This window comes from Homo sapiens, chromosome 13, assembly GCF_000001405.40.
Source record: "Homo sapiens chromosome 13, GRCh38.p14 Primary Assembly".
Classification (NCBI taxonomy): domain Eukaryota; kingdom Metazoa; phylum Chordata; class Mammalia; order Primates; family Hominidae; genus Homo; species Homo sapiens.
This window is the reverse complement of record NC_000013.11, coordinates 41433528-41454609: the sequence shown is the minus strand read 5'-3', so window position 1 is coordinate 41454609 and position 21082 is coordinate 41433528. Positions and strand designations below refer to the sequence as shown.

General features: G+C 42.5%; 2 pseudogenes across 1 annotated transcript, besides 1 other annotated feature; one reads left to right on the top strand and one right to left on the bottom strand.

The window, feature by feature from the left end:
- Positions 1-10843: 10843 nt before the first annotated feature.
- Positions 10844-12046, bottom strand: OR7E37P (olfactory receptor family 7 subfamily E member 37 pseudogene; annotated as a pseudogene). Its single transcript, NR_002163.3, has one exon. The product of NR_002163.3 is annotated as an olfactory receptor family 7 subfamily E member 37 pseudogene (transcript).
- Positions 13748-14773, top strand: OR7E155P (olfactory receptor family 7 subfamily E member 155 pseudogene; annotated as a pseudogene).
- Positions 19209-19709: an enhancer, noted in NCBI's record as "H3K27ac hESC enhancer chr13:42009037-42009537 (GRCh37/hg19 assembly coordinates)". NCBI's record gives its function as "activates a minimal SCP1, AML or CMV promoter by ChIP-STARR-seq in primed H9 embryonic stem cells {active_cell/tissue: H9 hESC(primed)}" and the evidence as "EXISTENCE:reporter gene assay evidence [ECO:0000049][PMID:30033119]".

Here is a 21082-nt window from a genome sequence, read left to right as displayed (position 1 = left end):
TAAATACACTGTGTGTCCACAGTGGCTGCTAACATGCAGGGAGGGACGGAGGTTGATATTACTCTGCGCATCAGCGGGGGCTGTCCACACGCCTTCGATGTGGCTCCTAATATCCATGGGGAAGGGGGGGTAGATATTACTCCCCGCATCACTGGGGGTGTCCATCCCCTGCCATGTGGCTTGTAATGTCAGGAGGGGCTGATATTTCTCCCCGCGTCGCGAGCGTCGCCCGCCCCCCTGCGATGTGTATCGTAATAGCCAGGGAAGGAGAGGGGCGTGATATTACTCCCCGCATCGTGGCGGAGTCTATCACCGGTCGGGATACTATACACCCCCTGGGATATTGGGAGTACACCCCCTATGATATTGGGAGTAATATCATACTCTTACCCCCGAGTATTAGGAACAATATCATGGAGGGAGTGTTCACCCCCTGCCATACTGTGAGTTATGTCATTTTCTCTACCCGTGGACATTAGAAACAATATCACAGGGGTGGTGTCCAACCCCTGCGAAATTGGGTGATATATCTTCCTCTCCACCTTTGGATATTAGGGACAATATCACAGGGGAGGTCTACACCTTCTGGATTATTGGGATTAATACCATCCTCTCCCAGCCTGGATATTAGCAACAAGATCACAGAAGGAATGTACACCCAGTGCGATATTTGGAGTAATGCCATCGTCTACCCCTGACTATTCGGAACAACATCACAGAGGGGTGTACATTTTCTGCGATATTGTGAGGAATGTCGCAATATTACTTATCGCAATTAATAACATCAATTATTGATTGATATTAATAACATCAATTATTGATTGATATTAAAACATCAATTATTGATTGATATTAATAATATCAATATTAATAACTGATATTTTTAAATCAATACCGATAATCATAATTTCTATTACATAGTTCTACCAATGATAAAAATAAATTATTAATATTAATTATTAATAACACCTGATATTAATAACTGATACTGATCTTATTCATTAGAAAACAGTAATATTAGCTCCTAATAATATTAATATTAATAATCTGAAAACTTTTTATTAGCAATTATTTCTTAATATTAATATTGGTAATTCATATTCATGTTAATAATCAAGGTGTAATAATTCATACTAATATTACTCCTAATACCGCAGTGGGTGTACACCCACCTGTGATACTGTTCCTAATGTCCACGGAAAGGAGAGAGCATGATATTACTTTCAATATCACAGTAGGTGTACACCCACCCGGTTATATTGATCCGAATATAACATCCAGGGGGTGGAGTATGACGTTACTCCCAATATAGCAGTGGGTGTACATCCACCCGGTGATATTGCTCCTAATATTCACGGAAGAAGAGAATGCTATTACTCGCAGTATCGCAGGAAATATACAACCCTTCTGTGATATTGTTCCTAATATCCGGAGGGGGAGAGGGTGATATGAGTCCCAATATCGCAGGCTGTGGACACCCACCCTGTGATATTGTTCCTAATTGCCAGGATGGGGGAGGACGATATGACTCCCCATACAGCAGGAGGTGTACACCCACCCTGGGATATTATTCCCAATATCCATGGAGATGAGAGGCTGATATGACTCCCAATATCTGAGTGGGTGTACATCCATTCTGTGATATTGTTCTTCATAGTCAAAGGCGGAGATGTTGATATTACTCCCAATATCACAGAAAGTGTACAAACCCATGTGATACTGTTCCTACTATCCAGAAGATGAAAAGATGATATTACCTCCCATATCGCAGGAGTTGTACACCTACTCTGTGACATTTTTCCTAATATGCAGGGCAGGACAGGATAATATTCTTCTTAATAGCACAGGGTGTGTACAGCCACCCTGTGATATTGCCCTTAAGACTGCAAGTCAGAGAGGATGATATTACTCACAAAACCGCAGAAAGTGTACACCACCCCAGTAATATTTTTTCCATGATCCAGGACAGAAGAGGATGACATTACTTTCAATATCACATGGGGTGGACAAGCCCCCAGTGATGTTGTTCCTAATTTCAAAGTGGGAGAGGATGATACTACACCCAATGGCGCTGGGGGTAGAAACACTCCTGTGATTTTGTTCTTCCTATCCAGGGGGAAGAGGATGTTATTACTACCAATAGTGCAGAAGATGTACACCCTTCTGAGATATGGTTGGTAATTTCCAGAGGCGGAGGAGATATTACTCACAATAAAGTAAAGAGGCTGTGTGACCACCGTAGCTCGTAATATCCAGGGGGGGAGAGGGGGGTGATATTACTCCCCGCATCGCGGGGGGCGCCCGCCCCCCTGCGATGTGGCTCCTAATATCCGGGGGGGAGAGGGGGGTGATATTACTGCCTGCATGTGCACACCTCCTGTGTCATTAAAAGTAGAATTGCCCTAAGATATTACGAAATATAACACAGGGAGTACACCCCGTGTGACATTATAAGATATTAGTTACTCCTAGGATATTTTCTCTCCTGGCACACTTGGTTATCACCGTGGGACATTATTTTTGATATTCTAGGATCATGCCACTACTAAAGTCACATGGGGGGTGTGCACCCAGCGATATAATTCGTAATATTGTAGGGGAATGTTAATGCTGATGTCACAGGACTCTACACACTGTGATATTATTCACTATAATATAGCGGGACATTAATAATAATGTCACAATATTTGTACACCTTCTTAATCTCCTAAGGGGAGGTTACTTTTGTGGTCACACGGGGTGTATTCCCTTTGATATTATTTGTAACATCCTAGAGGGATGTCACTCCTTATGTCACAGGGTTTGTACGCCTTATCAAATTACTCGTATTATCCTCATAAGATGTCAGTCCTCATATCAAGAGGGTGTACGCTCTGTGATATTATCGTCATATTATAGGGAAATGTTACTTTTAATGTCACAGAGGGTGTACACCTTGTGAAATTATTCATTATAGGTTTGTGGGATGTTACTCCTAATGTCACCCGGGGTGTACACACCGTGATATTACGTGTAATATTCTATAGAAATGTTACTCGTGAATCACAGGTCCTGTACACCCTTTAATATTCTCCGTAATATTCTAGGAAAACGTTACTACTAATGTCACCGGTCCTGTAGACCGGTGTCATAAAATTCGTAATATCCTAGCGGGAGTTCACTACTCATTTCATAATACGTGTACACCCTTTGACATTATTCGTATTATCCTGAAGAGATGTTACTGCTGATGTCCCAATGCGGGTACATTCTCTGATATTCTTCGTTATATCCTTGGGGGATGTTACTTCTGATGTCACACGGGGTGTACTTCCTGTGTTCTATTTCGTAGTGTCCTAGGGCAATTTTACTTTTAATGACACGGGGTGTACACATTGTGATATTATTCGCGATATTTTAGAAAGACGTTACTCCTAATGTCACAAGGGTGTACACCCTGTGATAGTATTCATAATTTCCCAGGGGTCTATACTCCTGATGTCACAGAAGATAACACCCAGTGACATTATTCATAATATTCTAGCAAGATGATGCTCCTAATGTCACAGGAGGTGTACACCCTGTGATATTATTCTTCCTATTCTAGGGGGATGTGACTCTTAATGTCACAGGTGTGTTCCTTCTGTGATATTATTGAAAATATGCTAGCAGGATATTACTGCTAATGTCACAATGCGTGTACACCTTGTGATATTATTAGTAATATTCTGGGGGGATGTTACTCCTAACGTTACAGGGGTCTACACCGTGTGATATTGTTCTCAATATTGTAGGGGGATGTTACTCCTAATGTCACAGGGGGTGTACACCCTTCGATATTATTTGTAATCTTATAGAGAGATATTACTTTAAATACCACAGTGGGTGTACACACATGGGGTACACCCACTGGGATATTATTGGTAATATCTTAGAGAGATATAACTCCTAATATCATAGTGGGTGTACCCCATGTGTGTACACCCTGTGATATTATTTGTAATATCCATGGTAAACATTACTTCTAGTATCCCACAGTGGGTACACCCTGTGGTATTTTTCATAATATTATAGAGAGATATTGCTTCTAATAACACAGTGGGTGTACACCATGTGTGTACACTCTGTGATATGATAGCTTATATCCTAGGGAGATATTCCTTCTAATATCACAGTGAGTGTACACCCTGTGATATCATTCGTAATATCCTAGAAAGATGTTGCTGCTAATATCACAGAGGGTGTGCCCCCAGTGACATTATTCATAATATCCTAGGGAGACGTTACTCCTAATGTTACAGGGGGTGTACACCCTGTTATATTATTCGTAATATTCTAGGGGGGTGTTACTTTTAAAATCACAGGGGTGTACACTCTGTGATGTTATTTGTAATATCCTAGGAAGAGGTTACTCCTAATATCACACTCCTAATATCACACCCTGTGATAGCATTCGGAATATCCAAAAGGGACATTACTTTTAATGTCACATGGGGTGCACACCCTTTGATATTATTCATAAGATCCCAGGGACATATGACTTCAGATATCACATTGGGTGTACACACACGGTGTACACATTATGTGTGAACACCTACTGTGATATTATTCATAATATCCTAGGAAAATGGGACTCCTAATATCACAGTGAGTGCACACACTGTGATATTATTTGTAATATCCTAGGGCAATATGACTCCTAAACCAAAGGCGTGAGTACCCCTATGATATTATTCGTAATACTCTAGGGAGATGTTACTCCTAATGTAATATCACAGGCGTGTACACCCTGTGATATTATTCACAGTATATGCGAGGGATATTAGCACTGAAGTCACAATGTGTGTACACCTTGTGATATTATTTATAATATCCTACGGGGATGTTACTCCTATTGTCACAAGGGGTGTGTTCACTGTGATAGTATTCGCAGTCTCCTAGACGAAGGTTACACCTAATATCACAGTGTGTGTACATCTTGTTATATTATTCGTGATATCCTAAAAAGACATTACTCCTCATGTCACAGGGTCTGTATACCCTGTGATATTATTCGTAATATCCTAGCGAGATGTTACTTTTAATGTCACAGAGGGTGTACACCTTTTGAAATTATTCGTCACAGTTTCGTGGGATGTTACTCCTAATGTCACACGGGGTGCACACCGAATATTACTTGTAATATTCTATAGAAATGTTACTCATAAATCACAGGTGTTCTATACCATGTCATGTTATTGGTCATATTCTAGGGGAATGTTACAGAAATTAATGTCACCCGGGGTGTACCCCTTCTGGTATTGTTCATAATATCCTAGGGAGATGTTACTACTTATGTCACAATACGTGTACACCCTCTGATATTATTCATTATATCCTCACGGGTTATTACTCCTATGTCACACGGGGTGTACTCCCTGTGATATTATTCGGAATATCTTAGGGGGATTTTACTTTTAATGTCACAGGGGGTGTACACATTGTGATATTACTTGTGATGTTCTAGAAAGATGTTACTCCTAATGTCACAGGGGCTGTACACCCTGTGATATTACACAGGCTAACCCCCTGTGACATTATTCGTAATATTTTAGCGGGATGATACTCCTAAAGTCACAGGAGGTGTACACTCTGTGATATTATGTGGAATATTCCAGGGGGATGTTACTCCTAATGTCACAGGTGTGTATACCCTGTGATATTATTCACAATATACTAGTGGGATATTACTACTAATGTCAACATGTGTGTACACCTTCTGATATTATTCGTAATATCCTGGAAGGATGTTACTCCTAATGTCGCAGGGGTGTACACCCTGTGTTATTATTAGTAATATTCTAGAGGGATTTTACTTTTAAAATCACAGGGGATGTCAACCCTGGGATCTTATTCGTAATATCCTCGGAAGATGTTACTTGTAATGTCACATGGGGTGTACACCCTGGGATATTATTTCGAATATCCTAAAGGGGTGTTATCTTAATGTCATAGGGTGTGTACACCCCTTGATATTATTCGTAATATCCTAAGGAGATATTACTTTAAAAATCACAATAGGTGTGCACACGTGGTGTACACCCTGTGATATTATTCACAATATCTGAGGGAGGTATAACTTTTCATATCACAGTGGGTGTACACACTGTGATATTATTCATCATATCCTAGAAGTATATTATTCCTATTGTCACAGGGGTTTAACATCCTGTGAAATTATTTGTAGTTATCCACGGGGATGATTATCCTAAAGTCGCAGGATGTGTACACCCTGTGATATTATTCGTAATATTCTAGGGAGATGTTACTCCTAATATCGCAAATGTGTACACGCTGTGATATTATTCACAATATACTATCTGGATATTGTTACTAATGTCACAATGCTTGTACAGCTTGTGATATTATTCATAATATCCTAAGGGGATGTGACTCCTATTGTCACGGGGGTGTGCTTTCTGTGCTATGATTCGTAGTATCCCAGGGGGATGTTACTCCCACCATACACATTGTGTCCACTTTGTTATATTATTCATAATATCCTAGAGTGATGTTACTCCTCATGTCACGGGGGTGTACATCCTGTGATGTTATTCTTCACATTCTAGGAAGATGTTGACTCCTAATATCACAGAGGGTGTACAATCTGTGAAGTTATTCATAATAGTTTGGGGGGATGTTACTCCTAATGTCACACGTGGTGTACAAACAGTGATATTATTTGTACAGTTTTTTGGATATGTTACTCCTAATATCACAGGGGCTGTACACCCTGTCATATTATTCGTAATATCCTAAAGAAATGTTACCACTAATGTCACAGGCGGTGTACATCGTGTGGTATTATTCCCAATATTATAGGGTGATGTTACTCCTAATGTCACAGAAGGTGTTCACGCTCTGAAAATATTCGTAAAAATCAGTAGTAAGGGATGTTACTACTGATGTCACAATGCAGGTACACAGTCTGATATTATTTCTTATAGCCTAGGGTGATGTTACTTCTAATGTCACAGGGGGTGTACATTTTGCGATTTGATTCGTAATATTTTAGAAAGATGTTACTCCTAATGTCACAGAGGGTGTACACCCTGTGAAGTTATTCATAATAGTTTTGGGGGCTGTTACTCCTAATGTCACCCGTGGTGTGCAAACAGTGATATTATTCGTAATATTTTATGGAAATGTTACTCCTATTATCCCAGGGGCTGTACACCTTGTAATATTATTCATAATATCCTAACAAAATGTTACATCTAATGTCACAGGGGGTGTACACCGTATGATATGGTTCCCAATATTGTAGGGGAATGTTACTCCTAATATCACAGGGGGTGTTCACACTGTGATAATATTCGTAATATCCTAAATGGATGTTACTGCTAATGTCACGACACGTGTACATCCTCTGTATTTGTTCGTTATATCCTCGGGGGAGGTTACTCCTACTGTCACACGGGGTGTACTCCCTGTGATATTATTCCTAATATCCTAGGTGGATGTTACTCCTCGTGTCACAGGGGCTGTGCGTTTTGTGATATTATTCACAATATCCTAGAAAGATGTTACTCCTCAGGTCACAGGGGATGTACACCCTGTGATATTATTCGTACTATCCTAGGGGACTTTACTCCAAATGTCACAGAAGGTGCACTCTCTCTGATATTACTCGTAATGTGTCAGGGAAATGTACTCCTAATGTCACAGGGCTTGTGCACCATGTGTGCACAACCCCTGTGATGTTATTTGTAATATTCTCGAGGGATGTTAATCCTAATATTCCATATGCTGTTAACCATGTGTGAACACCTTTGTGATATTATTCCTAACATACTAGAAAGATGTAACTCCTAACATCACATGGGGTATCCGCCATGTGTGTACACATTCTGTGATATTATTCATAACATCGTAGGGAGATGCTACTCCTAATTTTACAAGGTGCGTACATTATGTGTGTACACCCCCTCTGAGGTTATTCGTAATATTCTAGGGGAATGTTGCTGCTAATGTCACAGGGAGAGTACACCATGTGTATGCAACCCTGGTAATATTATTTCTAATATCTTGGGGGGATGTTGCTCCTAATGTCACCTGGAGTGTACACCATGTGTGTACACCTTCTGTGATATTATTCGTAAATCACAGAAAAAGATTATGCCTAATGTAACAGGATGTGTATACCATGTGCGTCAACTGCCTTTGATATTATTCATAATATACTAGGGGGATGTGACTTTTAATGTCACAAAGTGTGTACAAAATGTCACAAGGTGTGTATGCCTTATGGTATTATTCCTGATATCCAGAAGGGTGTTACTCCTAAGGTTACAGGGGGTGTACACCCTTTGATAATATTTGTAGTCTTATAGGGAGATATTGCTGTAAATCTCACAGTGGGTGTACACACATAGTGTACACCCACTGTGATATTATTTGTAATATCTTAGAGATATTACAGAGTCATAGCTCTCTGTGTAATATTAGAGAGTTATATCTCTCTAAGACAGTACAAATAATACCACAGTGGGCGTACCTCATGTGTGTACACCCTGTGATATTATTTGTAATATCCATGGTAAACATTACATCTAATATCACAGAGAGTGTACTCCGTTTGATATTTCTCATACTATCATAGGGAGATATTGCTTCTAATATCACAGTGGGTGTACACCATGTGTGTATATTCTGTGATATGATACCTTATATCCCATTGAGTTATCTCTCCGAATATCACAGTGTGTGTACACCTTGTGATATTATTCATAATACCCTAGAAAGATGTTACTCCTAATATGACAGAGGGTGTACACCCAGTGATATTCTTCATAATATCCTAGGGAAATGTTACTCCTAATGTCACATGGGGTGTACACCCATGATGTTATTCATAATATTCTAGGGGGATGATACTTTTAAAGTCACAGGGGTCGTACACCCTGTGATGTTGTTCATAATATCCTAAGAAGATGTTACTCTTAATGTCACACAGGGTGTACACCCTGTGATATTACTCAGTATATCTTATGGGGATGCTACTCCTAATGTCACAGGCTGTGTACACCCTGTGATATTATTCGGAATATCCACAGAGATGTTACTTTTGATGTCACAGACGGGGTCCACCCTTTGATATTTTTTCTCATATCTTAGGGAGATATTACTTCAAATATCACAGTGGGTGTACCCTCACTGTGATGTTATTCACAATACCCTAGGGAGATATAACTTTTAATATCACAGTAGGTGTACAAACTATTTGTGTACACCTACTGTGATATTACTCCTAATATCGTAAAAATAAATAGGACTCCTAATATCACAGTTGGTGTACACACTGTGATATTATTCATAATATTCCAGCGGAATGTTACTCCTCAGGTCCCAGGGGATTAATAACCTGGGACAGTATTCCTCATATTCCAGGGCGGTGATAATCCTGAAGTCACAGGGTGTGTACCCCCTGTGATATTATTTGTTATATTCTAGGGGGATGTTACTCCTAGTGTCACAGGGATGTACACCCTGTGATATTATTCATAGTATACGAGAGGGATATTAGTATTAATGTCACAATGCATGTACACTTTGTGATATTATTCATAATATCCTAATGACACAGGGGGTGTGTTCCGTGTGATATTATTCCTAATATCCTGGACGGATTTTGCTCCTAACATCACAGGGTGTGTATACCTTGTCATACCATTCATAATATCCTAAAACTAGGTTATTCCTCATGTCGCAGGGGGAGTTCACCCTGTGATATTATTTGTAATAGTTTTGTGGGATGTTACTCCTAATGTCCCATGGGATGTACACAGAGTCACACAGTGATATGAGTTGTAATATTCTATAGACATGTTACTCGTAAATCACAGGGGCTGTACCTCCTGTGATATGATTCGTAATATTCTAGGGGAATGTTGCTACTATTGTCACAGGGGTGTACACCCTGTGATATGACTCGTCATAACCCAGCGGGATGTTACTCCTAATGTCACAATGCGTGTACACCCTGTGATATTATTTGTAATATCCTAAAGAGATGTTACTACTAAGGTCACAATGCATGTACACCCTCTGATATTATCCGTTATATCCTCAGGGGATGTTACTCCTAATGTCACAGAGGGTGTACTCCCTGTCATATTATTCATAATATCCTAGGGGGATGTTACTTTTAATATCACCGGGGGTGTATATCATGCATATTCAACACCTGTGATACTATTCCTAATATCCTAGGGGCATGTTCCTCCTAATGTCACATGGGGTGTACACCATGTGTGTACACCTGCTGTGATATTATTCATAATATCCTAGGGGAATGGTACTCCTGATGGCACAGGCAGTGTACACCATGTGTGTAAGCCGCCTGTGTCATTATTCGTAATATCCTAAGGGGATGTTTCTTTTAATGTCACAAACGGTGTACAAAATGTCACAGAAGATGTATACCTTGTGACGTCATCTGTAATACCCTAGAAGGACGTTACTCCTAATATGTCACTGGGGTGTATACCCTTTGATAATCTTTGTAATCTCATAAAGAGATATTACTTCAAATATCACAGTGGATGTACACACATAGTGTATACCCTGTGATATTATTTGTAATATCCTAGGGAGATACAACTCCTGATATCACAGTGTGTGTACCCCGTGTGTGTACACCCTTGATATTAGTCATAATATCCAGGGTAAATATTACTCCTCATATCACACAGTATGCACACCCTGTGATATTTTTCCTCATACTTTAGGGAGATATTGCTTCTACTATCACAGTGGGTGTACCCCATGTGTGTATACTCCGTCACGGTATTTTTTATATCCCAGGGAGGTATTACTCCTAATATCACAGTGGGTGTTCACCTGTGATATCATTCTTATTTGACCTTTCTGCCTTTTTTAACCCACACTACAAAAGGAATGGAACAGATAAGAAGATATTGAGATTAGACTGTGCTGCCGTGCGGCCGCCGCAGGACACTTTTAATATCCCTGTTTCTCAGGCTGTAGATGAAGGGGTTCGGCATGGGGGTGACCACCGTGTACATCACTGAGGCCACTGCACCATTTCTGGGGGAAGATGACACATCATCTGAACTGAGGTAACCTCCAACGCCTGTTCCATAAACTCAGCAAACAACTGACAGGTGAGACCCACAGGTGGAGAAGGCTTTATACTTCCCACCTGATGATGAAACCCTCAGAATGGAGGAAACAATTTTAGAGTAAGAGAAAAGGGTCCCTGAGATGGGAAGAAAACCAAATATGGCAGCAGGGAAATACATGATTATCTTATTGGTGAAGGTGTCACAACATGCAAGATGGGGGAGTTGAGAAGGGTCACAGAAGAAATTAGGAATTTCCACATCCTTGAAGCAGGTCACTTGTAAGGCAATCAAGTTGTGCAGCTGGGAGTCTAAAAGACTGAGGACAGAAAAAAAAAGACAACAAAACTAGGAAGCCACAGAAACACGGGTTCATGATGGCTGAATGATATAGAGGGTGACAGATGGCTACAAACCGGTCATAGGCCATCACACTCAGGAGCATGTCTCTCTTCCATGCCTCCAAAAATGGCAAAGAGAGACATCTGAGTCAGGCAGCCTGCATAGGAGATGACTCTGCTGTGAGACTGGATGTCCACAATCATCTTGGGGACCGTGGTGGAGGTGAAACCGATGTCAGGCAAGGACAGGTTGGAGAGGAAGAAGTACATGGGGATGTGGAGGTGGGAGTCAGGGCTGATGGCCAGGATGATGAGCAGGTTCCCCAGCACCATGACCAGGCACATGGACAGGAACAGCCCAGTGAGGACCGGCTGCCGTTCTGGATCCTCTGTAGTTCTAGGAGGAGGAATACAGAGACATCTGTTAGATTCTGTGGGTCTGTAGAGATTGGACACCTTTTGCCTAGAAAAGAGGTTGAGAAATCGGAAACAAGTAAACCAACACCCAGCATTGTGTCTGCATTTTGGATATAAGCAATTCACAAGGCATGTTTTCAGATTTCAGAGCAATCCACACTCAGCAATAATTTGCAGTTCTGACAATACAATATTGTAACTGATGTTATTGGTAATATCCCAGGGAGATATTACCCTTAATGTCACCGTGGGTGTACACCATGTGTGTATGAACTGAGATGTTACTCGTGACATCCTAGGGAGAAATTACATGGGTGATGTTATTGGTAATATCCCAGTGTACACCCACTGTGATACTGGGAGCAATATCTCTCTAGGATAGTACAAGTAATATCACAGAGTGTACACACACTGTGATATCAGGAGAAATATCTCTCTGGGATATCACGAATGATATCACAGAGTGTACACACGTGGTGTACATCCACTTTGATATTAGGAGTAATATCTTCCCAGGACATTACAAATAACCTCACAGAGTGTACACCCACCGTAATAGTAGGAATCGTATCACCCTAGGGGATCACCAATAATATCACAGGGTGTACACCCACTGTGATATTAGGAGTAATATCTTCCTAGGGTATTATGAATAATTTCACAGTCTGTACACACATGGTGTACACTCACTGTGATATTAGGATTAATATCTACCTAGTAGATAACAAATAACATCACAGGGTGTACACCCACTTTGATATTAGCTGTAATATTTTTCTAAGTTGTTACAAATAAGATCACAGGGTGTGCAAACATGGTGTACACTCACTGTGATATCAGGAGTCATATCTCCGTAATATATTATGAATAATACCATAGGGTGTACACCCACTGTATTATTAGGAGTAATATCTCTGTAGGATATTACAATTAATATCACAGGACAGGGTGTACAGCCACTGTGATATTAGGAGCAATATCTTTCTAGGATATTACAAATAATATCACAGGGTGTACGCCCACTCTGCTGTCAGGAGCAATATCTCCCTAGGATATCAAAAATCCTATCACAGGGTGTCCAATGTCTGCCTTCCAGGTTCTAAGGGATTCTCCTGCTTCAGCCTCCCGAGTAGCTAGGGTTACCCGCCACCATGCCCGGCTAATTTCTTTTTATTTTCACTGGAGAAGCGGTTTCACCACGTTGGCCAAGCTGGTCTGGAACTCCTGACCTCAGGTGATCCATCAGCCTCGGCCGCCCAAAGTGCTGGGATTACAGGTGTGTGCCATGGCGCTCGGCCAGGAGTTATATATTCAATTCATTTGGAAACACAGCTCCCATATTTGAGTGTGCATGTACTTTTATGAAGAAATGATGTCAGGAAACCTAAGGATGATAATAAATATGAAAAGTAACTGGCATGTGAAAAGGTCTTCCAATGAAGAACTCTTAAGTTTCGAGTTCATTTTTAGATAATGCGGTCCTAGCTCTTGTATCATCCTTCTACATATTCCACATCAAAGGAATTTGTAGCACGGTGTCAGAATAAAATAGAGTGTATTTCACGGCTTCTTAATTTCTTCCAATTAGACTGAGATCTTTTTCTTCAAGAGAAGAACATTTTCATTGCATTCTATTTTTTCTGAAAAGAGTGGGCCGTATTTTACTGAGATCACGGATTTGTTATATATGATGTTTTGGTCTTCTAACCTTCTTCAGTGGATTTTCTCTAAAGTAGTATGTACAGAAAGAGTTGAATAGCAAAAAAGTAAAACATGTAACAATTCTGAGATTTTTGGATTTGTCACAACTGAGAAACATTGCTGGCGGTGTATGGTCTGCAAGTGTGAAAATGTTCCTTGTGAATTGCTTGCATTCAGCATGAAGGGCTGCTTTTTGTCTTTTATTTTTCCAATCTTCTTTCCTTCTCAAGGTGTCCAAGTCACACAGAGCCACGGAGTCTCACAGGTGTCTGAGAATTCCTCCTCCTGGGACTCTCAGGGGATCCAGAACTGCAGCCGGTCCTTGCTTTGCTGTCCCTGTCCCTGTCCATGTATCTGGTCACGGTGCTGAGGAACCTGCTCATCATCCTGGCTGTCAACCCTGACTCCCACCTCCACACCCCCATGTACTTCTTCCTCTCCAACCTGTGCTGGGCTAACCTCAGTTTCACCTCGGCCACGGTTCCCAAGATGACTGTGGACATGCAGTTGCATAGCAGAGTCATCTCTCATGCGGGCTGCCTGACACAGATGTCTTTCTTGGTCCTTTTTGCATGTATAGAAGACATGCTCCTGACCATGATGGCCTATGACTGCTTTGTAGCCATCTGTCGCCCTCTGCACTACCCAGTCATTGTGAATCCTCACCCTCTGTGTCTTCTTCATTTGGTGTCCTTTTTCCTTAGCCTGTTGGATTCCCAGCTGCACAGTTGGATTGTGTTACAATTCACCATCTTCAAGAATGTGGAAATCTCTACTTTTGTCTGTGAGCCATCTCAACTTCTCAACCTTGCCTGTTCTGACAGTGTCATCAATAGAATATTCATGTATTTCGATAGTACTATGTTTGGTTTTCTTCCCATTTCAGGGTTCCTTTTGTCTTTCTATAAAATTGTCCCCTCCATTCTAAGGATGTCATCATCAGATGGGAAGTATAAAGCCCTTGCCACCTGTGGCTCTCACCTGGCAGTTGTTTGCTTATTTTATGGAACAGGCATTGGCGTGCACCTGACTTCAGCTGTGGCACCACCCCCCAGGAATGGTGTGGTGGCGTCAGTGATGTACGCTGTGGTCACCCCCATGCTGAACCCTTTCATCTACAGCCTGAGAAACAGGGACATTCAAAGTGCCCTGCAGAGGCTGCGCAGCACAACAGTCGAATCTCATGATCTGTTCCATCCTTTTTCTTGTGTGGGTGAGAAAGGGCAACCACATTAAATCTCTAAGTCTGCAAATCCTACCCCTTAGTCACATTCTTTTTGTGACTTGATGGCTTTTATTCCTTTCTGCATTTCCTTTGTGAACATTGCTTTCTTCGTTATGCCTTTAACTGGAATGGGTGAGTATTCTGGGATCCTTTGTTTAGCAGAAACCTCATGACAGAATCCTCTGTGCCTAGGCAGCCTCCTTTAGTTTCTGAGCAATGACCTTGTCATCCAGGTGGAATCACAACCATCTTTTTATAAACACGAAGTCCTCACTTCATTTTGGAATTCCCTGAAAATTGACTTTATGGAAACAATGTACAGCAGGTCCTCCAACACCATTGGTGTGTTCAAAGTTGTGTAGTTATACTGTGGATTAGGAATAAGTGGTTTCACTGTACATCATTTTGCTTCGAGGTGAAGTTTCCAAGAGACTTTCAAAGATGTTAAGTGAGGACATACTGTACATCAAATTCATATCCTCTTCCGGAATTCATGTGGAATTTCTTTATGAACTGCTTCTAGAGAATCTATTTAGGCAGGTTATGTGTAGAGATCCATGTCACCGTTCCTCAGTCTTGGCTTTGAGTCCCATCCCCTGGGGAGCTTACAAATGATGAGGCCTGGGTCTCAATACCTGAGATTCTGATTTACTTGCACCTGTGTGAGTATGCGGATTTTTTTTTTTTCTTTTACAGCACCAGAGGTGGTTCCAATGACGAAGTTTTTTGTTTTTTTTTTTTTTTTTGAGGCAGAGTCTCGCTCTGCCGACCAGGCTGGAGTGCAGTGGCGCCATCTTGGCTCACTGCAAGCTCCGCCTCCCAGGTTCACGCCATTCTCCTGCCTCAGCCTCCCGAGTAGCTGGGACTACAGGCGCCCGCCACCACGCCCGGCTAATTTTTTTGTATTTTTTAGTAGAGGCGGGGTTTCACCGTGTTAGCCAGGATGGTCTCAATCTCCTGACCTTGTGATCCGCCCGCCTCGGCCTCCCAAAGTGCTGGGATTACAGGCGTGAGCCACCGCGCCCGGCCTCCAATGACGAAGTTTTTAGAGGCATCAAGCTCCAATGAGTAAGAAGAGAAATTAATCGTAATATGATTTCTTCAAATATTATCTTCAAATGCATTGTCCATCAACACCATAAAAATGTCTATTAGGCTGTTTTTTCTTACCATTTCACATTTTCTATTTCTTTCTTTTCCTTTTTTTTTTTTTTTTTTTTTGAGGCAGAGTTTCACTCTTGTTGCCCAGGCTGGAGTTCAATGGCACGATCTCGGCTCACTGCAACCTCTGCCTCCCGTATTCAAGCGATTCTCCTGTCTCAGCCTTCCAAGTAGTTGGGATTACAGGCATGCGCTACCATGCCCGGCTAATTTTTTTTTTTTTTTTTTTTTTGTATTTTTATTAGAGACAGTGTTTCTCCATTTTGGTCAGGCTGGTCTTGAGCTCCCGACCTCAGGTGATCTGCCCGATTCCGCCTCCCAAAGTGCTGGGATTACAGGCCTGAGCGACCCCGCCCAGCCACCACTTAGCATTTACATGTTACGTTTGTTGAAGTTATAGATTTATGCACACGTTGATTGCTGCTTTGTTATACACTTGCATATACATAAGATGGGAAATAGAAAAGAATAAAATGGGCACAGTATCCCTGAAGTTTCACATTCCGAGACATTTTAAAAATATTTGCTCTTTAGAAATTTGTTTCAATTAAGAAACTGTGGTATACACACCCAATGAAGTATTATTCAGCCTAACAAGGAAGAAAATCCTCTCCGCTGCAGACAAAATGGATGAGATTGCAGGTCTGTATATTAAATGAAATAAGCCAGGCACAGAATGACAAATATTTCATGTCCTCACTTCTATGTAGGAAAAACGGAAACCTTGGCCAGGTGTGGTGGCTCAGGCCTGTGATCCCAGCACTTTGGGAGGCCGAGTCACACGGATCACTTGAGTCCAGGAGTTGGAGACCCGCCTGGCCAACATGCTTTTTCTTTTGTTTTGTTTTTCAGATGGAGTCTCGCTCTGTTGCCCAGGCTGGAGTGCAGTGGTGCGATCTCGGCTCACTGCAAGCTCTGCCTCCTGGGTTCATGCCATTCTCCTGCCTCAGCCTCCCAAGTAGCTGGGACTACAGGCACCCACCACCACACCTGGCTAATTTTTTGTATTTTAGGTAGAGACGGGGTTTCATCGTCTTAGCCAGGATGGTCTCGATCTCCTGACCTCGTGATCCACCCGCCTCGGCCTCTCAAAGTGCTGGGATTACAGGAGTGAGCCACCGCACCCGGCCCATGCTGTATCCTTATCTGTTGTCTCTTGTTGTTTGTTTGTTTTTGAGCCCAGAAATAACTTCTCACCTATATGTTCAAATGATTTTTCACATGAGTGCTAAGAAAGCTCATTGGTGGAAAAGCAGCCTTTTCAAGAAATGGTGTCAGAGGAACTTGATTTCCACATGCAGAAGAATGAAGGTGGACCCTATGTCACACCAGGTGCAAAAATTAACACAAACTGGATCAAAGACCTAACCCCAAGTGCTAAAAGTATCATAGGCCTAAAAGAAAACATTGGCCACACTTTCATGACATTGGATTGGGCAATGCTTTCTGGGATACGACCCCAAAAGCATAGGCAACGAAAGAAAATTAGATTCCTTGGATTACATCTAAATGACAGACACTTCTGTGCAGCAAAAAACACTGTGACCTGAGTGAAAAGATAACCCATGGATTAGGAAAAATATTTGCAAATCATCTATCTGAAAAGAGGCTAATATCCATCATACATCAAGAACAGCTAGAACTAAACAACAAGAAACCCAAAGCATCCCATTAACAATGGTCAGGAGACTCGAGTAGACGTGTCCCTAAACAAGATATAGCAATGGCCAATAAGCATCTAAGATGATGTTCAAAATCACTCATCATAGGGAAGCGCAAATCACCCAAGAATGTGATACCACACGTTAGGATGGATATGATAAACAAACAAGCATTGGTGAGACTAGAGGGAAGTAGGAATGCTCGAATATGATTGGAGGGAATGTAAAACCGTGAAGGAACAGGGAAAATACTATGGCATGTACTGAAAAAATTAGAAACAGAATGATCAGATGTTCCCGCAGTTGCATTTGTGGGTACCTACCAAAAAGAATTAGAAGGCAGGAGTGGAAGAGAGATTTGTGCACCCATATTCATAGCAGCATTATTCACAACAGCCAAAATGTGGAAGCAACCCGAGGGTTCGTGGACAGATGAACGAAAAAGCACACTGCAGTGCATTCATACAATGGAAGACTATTCAGCCTTCAAAAGGCAGGCACTTCTGGCCGGTGCGGTGGCTCATGCCTGTAATCCCAGCATCTTGGAAGATCGAGGTGGGCGGATCACCTGAGGTCAGGAGTTCAAGACCAGCCTGGACATCTTGGTGAAACCCTGTCTCTACTGAAAATGCAAAAAATTAGCCGAGCGTGGTGGCGCTTGCCTATAGTCCCGGCTACTCGGGAGGCTGAGGCACAAGAATCGCTTGAACCCGGGAGGCGGAGGTTGCAGTGAACCCAGATTGCGCCACTGCACTCCAGCCTGTGTGACAGAGTGAGACTCCATGTAAACACAAAACAAAACAAAATGAAACAAAAACAAACAAAACAAAAAACCAGACAGGCACTTCTGACACAGGCTGCAACATGGATGAAACTTGAAGACATTATCGTCAGTGAAATAAATAAATCCCAAAAGGATAAACACGACCAGGCTCAGTGGCTCGCACCTGTAACCCCAGCACTTTGGGAGGCTGAGGCAGGCAGATCACTTAAGGTTAGGAGTTCAAGAGCAGCCTGGCCAATATGGTGAAAGCTCTTCTCTATTAAAAATACAAAAACTAGCTGGGCGTGGTGGCGCACGCCTGTAACCCCAGCTACTCGGGAGACTGAGACAAAAGAATCGCTTGAACCCACGAGGTGGAGGTCGCAGTGAGCCGAGATCACGCCACTGCACTCCAGCCTGGGCGACAGAGAACAACTCTGTCTCAAAAAAAAAAAAAAAAAAAAAAAAAAAAATTCACCACGGTATGATTCCACTTCTATCAAGTGTCTAGAGTAGTTAAACTCATAGAGTTGCAAATTAGAATGGTGGCCCCCGGGGTGGGCGAGAGAGAGGAATGGAGAGTTTGGTGAATGGGTGCAATTTCCATTTTGAAAGATAAAACTGCTCTGGAGATGATGGCGGTGATGGTTGCTAAACAATGTGAATGTACTTAATGTCATTCAACTGTCAACTGAAAAATAGTGGAAATTGTCAATGTTTATACTGGCCATTCTAGATGAAATCATATAGATTTATAACTTTTAGTATTGATACGTGGTCTATTTTCCCATAGTAAAAGATGAAAATGAAAGCAGTTGGATCTTTAAAAAGAAAAGAAAGAGGGGAATAATACACACAAGCTTCCTCCTGATGACAGGAAGAGCCCCAAAGCTTCTATGGACACTCCCTTTTCTCTTCTTCTTCCTGCATTCTTATGAGGAAATCTGTAGAGATTGGGGAACTTGGGTGACTTTGGCTAATGAGGAGCTCTGTGCCTTGAGCACCCCAGGCCATAGAATAGTCAATACTCAGTCTGTGCCTCCAGCCCTGCAGTGTGAGGTTCCAGTCCTGTGGGCTCCACACCCGTCACCTGTATCAGGAGGCTCATGTCTCACCCTGTCTTCTTGCCAGCCTTGAGGGCAGAGTCTGAGCCTCCGTCATGCAACACGCAGAGAGGAGGGAGGACAGTGGACCTGTTCTCCGTGGTCATGGCCCAGCAGAGGGGAAGGGCAGTTCAGTGAGTCCTGAGGGACAGACAGAGGCTTGCTTTGTTTCCTCATCCTCAGGACAAACAGGACAGTACGGTGGGGAGATGGGAGGAGACCAAGGTGCAAACTGTCAGCTCAGCAGACTGTGGAGATTCTGTTCTTGCTTGTGGTGGGGGGTCTCAGAAATCTTATTCAAAATTTTGCCTTCCTCTCCCACTGGTTGTCCTTTTCATAGACACCTCACCCATCATAGCAGGGAATGAGTCCCTCTAAACTATTCCCTGAGAACAACAAAAAGATGGTGAAGGTGATGATGAGGATAAAGAGGATGATGACAGACACCAGGGCATCATGAACCCTTACTGAGGTCTTCCTAAAGGCCAGGCTCTGAGCTCTGTGGTCTATGCTGCTTGCTTCATTTCATCTGCGTAGTCACCCAGTTATTAGTGCACATTTCATGATGATTTTACAGACTAGAAAAGGAGCAACGCATTTTCATATAACTTGTACCAGATCATGAAGTCAAAAAGGGTGAAGCCCAATTTGAACCAGGCAGTCTAAGTCCGGACACATGGCATTTGGCCAGTCCCCTCCCTGCATCCAACCTGCCCTCTCCAATCCTTGTCCCTCAGGCCGATGCCCCTGCTCACTGTGCCCTTCCCTTTGGGGGTTCCTTGTAGACCACAGCTAGACCAGTGGGTGCCACAATCACTGTGTCAAGTATGGAAATGGCATCTGAGATCACATCAAAGATTCCAGAAAGAATTGGCACAGGATCATTTGGGATGCATCTCTCCCTTGCCCCTGTTCCTGGCTTTCCTTACAGCTCTCGACTTCCTCCAAGGAGTCATCAGTTCGGGGTTTGGCTTCCATTCCTATTGAGGAAGCTGGAAACCATTTCAAAAATGCTCCTCAGATGTGCCTGTGGTTAAGACCTCTGAGCTCTGTTGAAAACTTTTGGAAGCTGGGCGCGGTGGCTCACGCCTGTAATCCCAGCACTTTGGGAGGCTGAGGCAGGCAAATCACAAGGTCAGGTGTTCGAGACCAGCCTGGCCAACATGGTGAAACCCCGTCTCTCCTAAAAAGAGAAAAAAAAAATGAGCCGGGCATAGTGGCGGGCGCCTGTAATCTCAGCTACTCAGCAGGCTGAGGCAAGAGAATAGCTTGAACCTGGGATGCGGAGGTTGCAGTGAGCCGAGATCACTCCAGTGCACTCCAGCCTGGGCAACAGAATGAGACTCCATCTCAAAACAAAAACAAAAAAGAACCCACAACATTTTGAGGGTTGGGAGACCATCAGGTATAGTGCCCGGGACTTAGAGTCTGGCCATTAATTTTCAATACCACCCTTTCTACTTATCTGTATGGCAAGGGGTGAGACGTCCATCCTCTGACACTCAGCACTCTCATCTGAGTTGATTTCTAGTTGACCCAATGGAAGTGAGCAATGATGAAACCGATCGTGGGTGCCCGCTGCGGGATCTCTATGTGATGGATGCGTAA